The sequence below is a fragment of the Homo sapiens genome, chromosome 4, assembly GCF_000001405.40.
Source record: "Homo sapiens chromosome 4, GRCh38.p14 Primary Assembly".
Lineage (NCBI taxonomy): Eukaryota > Metazoa > Chordata > Mammalia > Primates > Hominidae > Homo > Homo sapiens.
In genome coordinates, this window is record NC_000004.12 from 175,193,670 (window position 1) to 175,204,886 (window position 11,217).

At 36.7% G+C, this 11,217-nt stretch overlaps 1 long non-coding RNA gene across 1 annotated transcript; it reads right to left on the minus strand.

Moving 5' to 3' along the window:
* Positions 1–468: 468 nt before the first annotated feature.
* Positions 469–5,313, minus strand: LOC124900872 (uncharacterized). The gene is made up of 2 exons (XR_007058496.1): positions 4,600–5,313; positions 469–755 (listed from the first exon to the last, which is right to left on the minus strand). It is a non-coding gene; the product is annotated as an uncharacterized LOC124900872 (long non-coding RNA).
* Positions 5,314–11,217: the final 5,904 nt, after the last annotated feature.

Below are 11,217 nucleotides of genomic sequence, written 5' to 3' on the forward strand. Positions count from 1 at the left end.
CATCATATTATTAAAAGCAACAAATGATAAAGCATCATGAACCTATTGTGCTAACATTTTTAATAATAGAACATTATTCAATATTTGCATTCCATAGTGGGAAGTTTAAAAGAGAGAAAGATGACATAATTGATTTAGAAATTAGCACTTTTATAGAAGCCTTCAGTAAGAGAAATTTATATTTGCAATGTACTTATATGTTGTTAAAATTATAATTGTGGATCTTTTGAATGTTTAGCTGAAGTTATATTGATGTTAAAGTGCTATAATGAGGGGTGAAAAAATAAAAACCAATTTAATTAGTAACTAAAATATGATCCTTTCATTTTATATAACACCAACACTGAACATTTTATATCATTTTTTCCAAAATTCTCTCATACTCATACAGTTTAAAATAGATATTTATATACCAGATTTGTATTTTACTTTATATATGCAATGAGAGTTCTTAGCTGCCAAAACAAGTGATGTCACTCTATTTATTTTTAAATGAAAGGGATTAATAAAGGAATTTTAGGTACTTCACAGAATTTATAAGGCCTATGGAAATAGACTGTTAAGTTTACAAAAATGTCCCCCCAAATCAGGGCTAGTAGTCCAAATTGCAGGGCCCAGGGCAAAATTATCATGTGCAGCCCCTTGTTCAAATAGCATGAAAAAAATGTGCTGTTAAAAAGATAAAATACAAAGTTTTTTCATTCTTCAGTGGTCTCTCTTCTCATATTGTTCTTTACTTGTTACTTCGTGTCACTCTGAATAAATAAAAATTAAAATGGAATACATGAACATACATTTTAACATTTATCTTTATAACATCCAATAGCAATTTTAGGTGCAAATGTAAGAATATTTCATTAGTAGGCAGAGGCATTAAAGTTACACAATCTCTATTTTATAGCTTCTACATGTGTATTTTGTTCTTAGCAGAGAAATGGAAATACTGCACAACACTTACTCAACTGTTTTTGAAATCAGCCCAATTTTGTCTCATAGAACTGATCTTTACAGTTTCTTTTGAGTAAACATAGAACTTGACCCTCCAGTCTTAAAACTTGATCTTGTTACATTTGTCTTATATGAGTTTCTTTCTCAGGAAACCAACCATCAGGCCTCCCAGGTAGTATCAAGAAGTGAAACTCACCAGATTATCACATATGGATAATGAGACACCAGATCCCTTACCCATCATGATTGCCTGACTGACCCCTTGTTTTGTATTGACTAATTCCCCTTCCTTACCCCTCCCTAATTCTGGTTTTCCCATATGTAGTTATATGTCTTTCCTGCTATATAAACCTGTCATTTTAGTTGGTCAGATAAATGGATTTGAAACTGATTTCCTGTTCTCCTTGGCTGTCACACTTCTTTCCTGGCAATACTTGCTGTCTCACTGACTGGCTTTCTGTGCAGCAGGCAGCAGGACCTAGAGCAAACTGTTGGCTTTTTAGTAAAATTTTTGGTTGACACACATTCTTCCAATACTCTCTACTTTTGATTTATTGCTGAGTGAGGGAAGGACTTAAGGATAAGGAACGACAGGTTTCACTATCTTTCCCTTTCCTTTTACGTCATTATTTTAGGTGTAAATAGTTGATGGGTGCAGGGGAGTAAAACAAGTTAAGGTGATGTTCCCTGGTTGCTCTTGTTTCTTAAAATCCCATTTTCATCTTTTAATGTTTGAAGTAAGTTCTGGTTCAAATGGGAAGTGCGGCCTCTTGGGACTGTTACCAACAACGCGTATTCAGTTGTGAAGCTAAACACGCTTACCTTGTACTCCCTTTGAGTCTCTCTGAACACCAAATCATCTGTGTTCTATTAGGGTTCTGTGCTAATAGGGGCATTGCAAACACTCTACGTGAATGGGGAAACAAGAAACAGTGGTAGAAGTGAATATTGCACATATCTACTCTGCTCGCATGCATGTTCCATTATCTCATTATACTTCAGTTATGAAATACAGGTTCAAAGATAAAAATCATTAAGAATTCAAAATGGTAAGAGCAGGACGTTAAACCAGGAGTGGGGTCCTTCTAAGCACAGTGTCTTGTGGGACTGCGCATGTCTAATTCCCATGATGTTGTCCTAAACAAATGGAATAGAACTGACCTTATGAAGAAAGGGTTGCTCTTAGAATTACCAAATATTAAGTGTCAGAACCTAACTTAGCTGCGATGGTACTAATGATAATGATGGTTCACCAAAAATGCTTTAGTGGTCTTCCCAACCACCACTGACTCCCTAAAACCAAATGACATTCCTACCACTTATGCCTGAAAAAACAGATTACATGTCAGTTTTTTTTTCTGGATCAAATTCTTCTATTTCTAAAGCTCTAATACATCCTAAATCACTCACCTGCATATTAGTGTCAAGAGAGACTCTTAAGTTATTTGTGGAAGCATGACTTATGATATGCTTATTTCCCAAGATAAAGAAATTAAATTAATATTTGCATTGTTTTAAATTTCAGTCTATTATGTTTACAACTGCTGTGAACATTCACGTACAAATATTTCTGTAGATTTAAATTTTCTTTATCTTAGTTAAATACATAGAAGTTTCATTAATGAGTCATACATTGAGTAAACTATTAACATGATAAGAAATTGCCACTGTCTTTCATAGAAACCATAGCATTTTGAATTCCCATCAAGCAACTTGTGAGTTTTAGTTGCTCCACATCCTTACATTACAATGCACCTAGTACTGCCACACTTAACATTTCCATTTTAATGAGGCAATATCAATAGAATAATTTCATTTTAAATTGCACTTATGAAGGAGTATTAGAATCGAGCACTGTTTTTCTGTGCATATTTGTTATTTGTATTAGTATCCTGGCTCCAGGTTAAAATACTATACACAATTTTATAAGCTCAACCATAGGTAATTGCAAAGCTTTGCCTATCAAGCCTTATGGGGAGAAAGCTGCCCTCCCAAATCAGACTTGGTGCTGGTGCACAGTCAGTATATTGTAGTTTTCTAGAAAAAGCTGCAGTGAAGAACTCGGGCCACTCTAGCTGGCCTTGCATTATATGCATATCTACATCTCTAGCTCAGATGCCTCCTTTTGCCTACATGAGACCTCCTAATTAGGTTGGCTAGGGCACTTTTTGCCACTCTGACTCGCAGTTTTCCACTCCACACCCTTCCAGTTTCCTTCTTCCTAGCCCCCTCAGGTCCATAAAAAGGCAGGACACTGGCTAGGTGGGGTGGCTCACGCCTGTAATCCCAGTACTTTGGGAGACCAATGTGGGTGGATCATCGGAGGTCAGGAGTTCGAGAACAGCCTGGCCAACTTGGTGAAACCCCGTCTTGACTGAAAATACAGCAATTAGCTGGGCATGGTGGTGCATATCTGTAATCCCAGCTACTCGGGAGGCTGAGGCAGGAGAATCGCTTGAACTTGGGAGGCGGAGATTGTCGTGAGCCGTGATCGTGCCACTGCACTCCAGCCTGGCGACAAAGCGAGACTCCATCTCAAAAAAAAAAAAAAAAAAAAAAGCAGGACACTTTTGTTAGGACTTCCTTGGCAAAGGGATGTTTCTCTCCCATCTGTGCTGTGTGTCCTTTGACCCTTGCCTGATACCACTCTGTGGGAAAAAATAGAACATGCAGACCTGGAACTTTTTCTTTACTTCTAGTATTCACAGTCACAGTAAATACAGACTTCATTATTACTTTCAGTTTGCCTTGTTATCCTAATTGACAACTGCAAATACTAGGTAAGTCAACAAATATGCAGTCGGGCCTCCCTATGCATGGGTTTCACATTCCTGAATTCAACCAGCCATGGATAGAAAATACTCTGGGGGCCGGGCGCGGTGCCTCACCCCTGAATTCCCAGCACTTTGGGAGGCCGAGGCGAGTGGATCACGAGGTCAGGAGAACGAGACCATCCTGGCTAACACCGTGAAACCCCGTCTCTACTAAAAATACAAAAAAATTAGCCGGGCGTGGTGGCGGGTGCCTGTAGTCTCAGCTGCTCAGGAGGCTGAGGCAGGAGAATGGCGTGAAACCCAGGAGGTGAAGCTTGCAGTGAGCCGAGATCGCGCCACTGCACTCCAGCCTTGGGGACAGAGCGAGATTCCGTCTCAAAAAAAAAAAAAAAAAAAAAAAAAAGAAGAAGAAAAGAAAATACTCTGGGAAAAAAATATTGCATCTATACCGAACATGTACACACTTTTTTCCTTGCCATTATTCCCTAAACAATACGGTATAATAACTATTTACATAGCATTTATATTGCACTAGATATTATAAGTAATCTAGAGATCATTTATAGTATACTGGAGATGTTAACAGTGTGAAAGTTGCAGCTATTAGGATAAGTCACACTAGTCAGACCCAGGCAAAGTGGGGATGGGAGAGCATGAAGGAGAGGAGCTCATGCTTGCAAGTCTGAAGATAAAAACTGTTTCAAGAACATTTAAAAATAACCCCACAAGAAATAATCTCACATCCTTCATGCATAAATATTTTTTCCATGGCTTATGCATTTTACATGCATGCACATATTTCTATGACAAGGTTCATTACTAGACATTCTTTAGGACTGCAGCAATTCAAATAAGACACTTTCAAAAGAACACTTACTCAGTGATGATATCTTCACCAATGAAATGATGCCAACTCTGGCTTTGAGCCTCCAGAACCAATGAACTCTGTTTCCAAGCAGCTTACATGGACCTCTCCTTTTTCCAAAAAAAGATTCTCTTTATCCTTGCCTCTTTGGATGCATACGTGGCTTGCTAATGTTGTACATCCTAGATTATAATTGTTTCTGCTTGCTCCCAAATAAAATCACTGTATTAGAATTTATTGCTCTAATCGTTTCTAATAATTTAGATTGACAGTATGGTATACACAAATATGACATTATTTTATATAAGTGACTTGAACATCCCAGATTTTGGTATCCATGGCAGATCCTAGAACTAATACCCCACAGATACTGAGGGATATGACTATAGTATTTTGTGAAGTGTCTTCTCAAATTTTCGTTTCTTTTTGAGATTGTCTTTTTATTAATAGGTTGAAAATGTTCTTTGTATGTTCTAGATACAGCTCCTCAATCAAATAGACAGATGATAGATAGATATTATATATATTTTAAACATCTCAAATATTTTACCCACTGTGGATTTTGAAAGGCAAAAGTTTTTCCATAAAGTCAAAAGTATCAAAGCCTACTTGTTTATAATTCATGTCTAATTCAGGGTTACAAAGTTGTTCTTTTCTAGGTTTCCTCTAGAAATTTTATAGCTTTAGTTCTTACGTTTTGGCCTAAAAGCCACTTTTAGTTTTTTTTTTTTTTTTTTTTTTAATGGTATGAGGTAAGGATGCAAATTCATTTTGTTCTGTATGGATATTTGTCCCAGCACCATTTGTTTAAAAATCTATCCTTTCCCAATTGATTTGCCTTGTCACGTTTTTGTATTGTAAATAGTAATTTTTATTTTCAAACAATCCACTTTAAAACTCTGCCGCTTACAAAATATTTGGAAGGGCTAGATGTACAAGCTTCAGACTGAGGCTCCAGGGTTAACCCAGAATAATCAACAGAAAATTTAGTTACTAGGTGACATTATCAGGCAGGTGGAACTTTGGGAGGCCATAGCTATTAGTGTTGACTGCAGGGATTCCATCACATCTATGAGATATAGCTACCTCCATAAAATCTATTTTGTGACATTCGTGATGAATCACGACCCTACTATGAACACTGTGTGATTATTTTTATTCTTGTGTTTTTTCAAAATATATTTCTCATTTGTTGAAAGGACTATTTGGTCTTTGGATTTCTTCACATTTTTTGTTTAGTTTTTCGATTTTGTCCTTCTCACATGAAGAAGTAATTATTACTTTTTCAGCTACACATATTTTTGGATTTGTTTTTGCCACTGAATTTTTTTTCATTGTTCAAATCAATTTTTATTTGTTTTTATCATTTGTTATCCATTCCTGCACACCCATTATATTCTAGAGATGGTAAGACAATACTTTGGAGATAGAAGACTGAACAAAAATAGGCTCAGGTGGGCATAGACATTGCTCTTACAAAGCTGTCAACAAATGAATCTAAAATTGCAGCTTGGGAAGGCACTATGAAGGAAAAAATACATGTTTTATAGAGTGTGTAATAATTATGTGTTGCTAAAGTTTCTATGGAGTTTTTCCAAGCAAATAATGGCTTGAAATAAGTAAGAAATAACCAAAGTAGGCAGGACACTTAAATGAGGTTGTCCAAAGAAAATTTAAAGACACTAGTGTGAGGTGAAGCTCAAGACTTATGGAGAAAAATAATCATGCAAAACCTTGCAGGCTGCTGCATATAATAAAAATCAAATACACTTTTCTTTTTTGAGAATCTCACTCTGTCACCAGGCTGGAGTGCAGTGGCACGATCTCGGCTCATTGCAACCCCACCTCCTGGGTTAAAGTGACCCTACCACCACAGCCTCCCAAGTAGCCAGAACTACAGGTGTCCACCACCATGCCTGGCTAATTTTTGTGTTTTTGTAGAGGCGAGATTTCACCATGTCGACCAGTATGATCTTGAACTCTGAGCTCAAGCAATCCACCCACCTCAGCCTCTCAAATTGCTGGAATTACTGGCATGAGCCACCACATTCAGCCAGAAATCAGATAAACTTTTAAAGCCATTAAGTACCTAAAGTTTTGTATAATTCATAAAGTTAAATCTTTCAATCATTCATTTTGTGTTTTATTCCATTATTTTTTACTTAGACAATCTCCCTTTCCAGATACTTGATTACTATTATTATTTTTTTTTTTCAGACAGAGTCTTGCTCTATTGCCCAGGCTGGAGTGCAGTGGCGTGATCTTGGCTCACTACAAGCTCCACCTCCCGGGTTCACACCATTCTCCTGCCTTGATACTTGATTATTAATTATTCCTCTGTACTTCTGGTAAGAAAATATTTACCCTATTTTGATAACTGAAGGCTTAAATCACATATGCTTTGTGATAAAAACTTGAGAAGAAAAATTATTCCTGTTAATAAGAAATAGTAACACATGCTGCTAAATAGCACACATATGTTTAACAGTAATTAACTGTATTAATCATTAGAGCACACAGTCTTACTATGATTTTTTTTTTTTGAGACAGAGTCTCACTCTGTTGCCCAGGCTGGGGCACAGTGGCGTGATCTTGGCTCACTGCAACCTCTGCTTCCCGGATTCTAAGAGATTCTCCTGCCTCAGCCTCCTCAGTAGCTGTGATTACAGGTGTGCGCCATCATGCCTGGATAATTTTGTATTTTTAGTAGAGACGGGGTTTCACCATGTTGACCAGGCTGTTCTTGAGCTCCTGACCTTAGGTGATCCACCTGCCTCAGCCTCTCAAAGTGCTGGGATTACAGGTGTGAGCCACCACATCCAGTCTTACTACCATTTTTAAAAGATATTTCTATGTGTCAGTTAAAGATTTTGCTGTTCATCAAGTTGATCAAAGCAGAAGCCTGTAGGTTTTCCAAGAACCTCTCTATAATTATCATATATCCCATATAATAGCAATCACCACATATACTATAATCTTATCTCTTTACATAAATCTCAAGTCTATGTGCACCATTATTAGCATATAACAAGTTTCTTATCATCTTTTTCCAGTATGGGAAATATAATTTCTTTTGTTTCTGTCATAGGTTTGTAGTTGAGACACTCTCCTGAAAACGAAAGTCAGATTAGAAGAGAAAACCAGCAGAAGTTTATTGACATGTGCTGTAACCCATCACTTGGGAGAGGCCAGAGTCTCTATCTCCCAGTGCAGTGGCTTAGGGGCCTTGCTTAAATAGTATTTTAAAAACAGCCATAAATCTTATAGCAACAAAGCAGGGAAGAGAGTAGTTTCAGGTTTCCAAAAGGTGGGAAACTATGGGAAGGTAAATTTATGGGAAGAGTGAAGTCTGCTCCTAGATCCTCTGGCAACCCTGTCTCTGAGCTGATAAGCAAGCCTTGTAAAAATAAGAAAATAATAATAATAAAAGACTGTCTTTAGGCTTGAAAAGGCAGACAGGAGAGCAGGAAGACTTTTGGTCTTTGTAAATTGCTGCCTTGCCATCAGGCAAGTACAGGCCCAGCGATCCCCGCATCTTTTCTTAACCTTCTGCAGCTCAGCAATTTTCAGTATTTCCAGAGGGATATTTCGGTTTCCTTCACAGGAGTATTATAACTGGGTGCTATTGAGCCTTTCTTCCTCTAGATTTACAATCATCAAATCTATTCTGAATCCTGACACAAGACAGATTTCTTCAAAATGCAATTCAATATTATCGTTTTCCTGTGCATTTTCATAATCATACTTTTTTAATTTAATTAACATTTTCCATACTGTTCTGTAAACTCTGTGGGCACAGGGGCAATTTCCATTTTGTGTATCAGTGTACTCAGTGCCTAGAATATGTAGCTATGTGATAAATAATTATGGAATGAATAAAGAAGTATTTCAAAAACTTCACTGGCTTTCCATGACCTCCAGAATAAAGGCAAGTTCCCATAAAACGGTATAAACATCCATGATCAGACTCCTGTGTCTTCCGTCTGATCTATTGCCATTTGGTTCAGTAATTCAGTGCTTCATACACTGTGAAGCTCAAGGACACCTCCTCCCTTTGCTCATGATCTCCTTTTTGCCTGTAGCAAAATCTCCACTTAACAGTTTACAGCCTCAAACATGGCCGTTGCTAAATCAAGTTTAGTCTAAAGCTGCCTCCTTATGTATTTTAAGTTTAGCCTAAAGGTTTCTTTGTACATCATGAACTTAATCTAAATGGAATTGTAAACAGACTGTAGGCTACTCTTGTGGCAATCACTGAGTTTGGGCCAATCAAATGTTGCCAACTGTTCAAACTGTGTTCAAATAAGGAAGGCAACGTGGAGCTATAACCAATCCAGCTGTTTATGTACCTCACTTCCGTTTTCTGTAGGTCCCGTTCATTTTTCTGTCCATAAATCCTCTCAGCCACGTGGCTGTGCTGGAGTCTGAATCTACTCTGTCTTGGGAGACTGCCCAATTTGTGAGTCCTTCTTTGTTCAATGAAACTCTTTTAAATTTAATTCAGCTGAATTTTCTCTTTTAACACCATCTAGGAAGACTTCTTAAAATTTCCTATTATTGGAGTAGTGAGTTCTTCACTTGTGCTCCAATTTGCATGCATGTAACCAGCATGTATCTTTCATGTCCTTTGTAGGTTTTATTGAAATAGCCATTTTATATCTGCCAGTCATACTTAACTGTAAGCTTCTATGAAGCAGAATGACCTTTTATTTGTGTTTTGTGCCCTTAGCATCTATCAAAATGTCTAGCACAAAACAGGTATTTGAAAAATCTTAAGTAAAGAGAACCAAAGAATTGTTACATATAGAAAATGACTAGAAAAATAAATAAAACAAGAGAGAAATAATGAATATCTCAAGAAGTTATCTTTTTAATTATCTTTTTATTATAGACTTATTTAGAATATAATTGTGAATATACATTCTTACCATGTGATTGTGATTTAAAATAGGCACCTTGGGATGCAAAGTCTTCAACGGGACACAGTTAGAAAACAAAATAATAAATGTCCTCCTTTATGTGAAATGATCAATTCTAATTTTATACATTGCTGTTCTCTTTAAATTCTCTTTACCCTTCTGAGATAATCTTTCTTTTCTAAAAGTGTCAAAAAATGATTTCAGAATCAGCTTTCCTGTTTGCTTCCAGAAGTTCTATTGCATTTGGCAATACAAGAGAAATTAATGTGAGAATATGTAAAGAAATAAATTTCTAAAATCTGGCTAAGCAAAAAAATTGGTGAATTCATAAATCTGTGTTATTGGATAGTATCTGCAGTAAGGCAAGGAGGAATTATTAGATTTCTTTGGCTTTTATTTTTAGTGTTATGACTATGTAATTTAATGACTTCCACAAAAGTTATTTCTATTTTCTTGCTTAATTTAGTTATTTACAAAAAGGCTTTTTATCATCTAAATTTATTCAATTAAATGGCTCTTTTATAAGAAAAATTGTTGCAGCGAAGTTTTTTGTGACTTCCTTTGCAAAGAATCTCTAAAAACAATGATGCAATCATACAATTTAATTTTTATTTTAGTGAAACTTATTCTTTCTAAACTTTGGCTTGACAAAGCTTCATTTATGTACTGGTAGGATATTGTTAAAATAACTACAATTAAAATGTTTTTATTATGATCTTTCAACTTATCTTTAGAATTTGATTACTTCAGTAATATATTAATTTATAGTTATATAATAATCATCATAATAAATGCAATATTTTCTTAATTATTTGTGCTTGTTTATCCCCATTTCCTACTCTATTCCTACTGTGTTCAGAAATTACATCTTTGTTGTATTTCACTCTTATTTGAAATGTAAATTTATTCAGGGAGAGCAGCAGGTGAGTGACAAAGCAATAAAAAAGTTGTCGCAACAGAGAATTTTTAGATCATTTTATATTTTTATATATATGGAAAAACAATATTTAATGAGAAAATGAGAATGTTTTTAACTTTATTTCCTCACCGTCTTTGCAATTAATAATTCTCTAAATACGTGGTCTGTTTTCCCCTCAAGCCTCAGTAGCTGGCTATAACTTTTCAATGGTTAAACTGAAGGACTTTTTTTTTGAGACAGGGTCTGGCTCTGTCACTGAGGCTGGAGTGCAGTGGCACTATCATGGTTCACTGCCACCTCAATTCCCCCTCAAGCCATCCTCCTGCCTCCAGCTTCCGAGTAGCTATGACTACAGGTGTATGCCACCAAGCTTGGCTATTTTTTTTTTTTTTTACTTTCTGTATACGTGGCTGCTATGTTGCCCAGGCCAGTCTTGAACCCCTGGGCTGAAGCACTCCTCCCGCCTTGGCCTCCTAAAGTGCTGACATTATAGATGTGAGTCACTGTACGTGGCCTGAAAGACTTAAATGCATAATAAATAGATTATGAAAAAAAAAGGCAGTACTGGCAAGTCCCAAAGTGGGGCTCAGCCCAAGAGGGTCTTGGCTTTGCCCAGGAAATAATTCAAGGGCAAGCTGGTGGTAGAAGAAAACAGCTTTTCTTTTGAGACAGTCTCATTCTGTCACCCAGGCTGGAGTGCAGTGGTGTGATCTCGGCTCACTGCAACCTCCACCTTCCAGGCTCAAGCAATTCTCCTGCCTCAGCCTCCCAAGTAGCTGGGATTACAGGCGC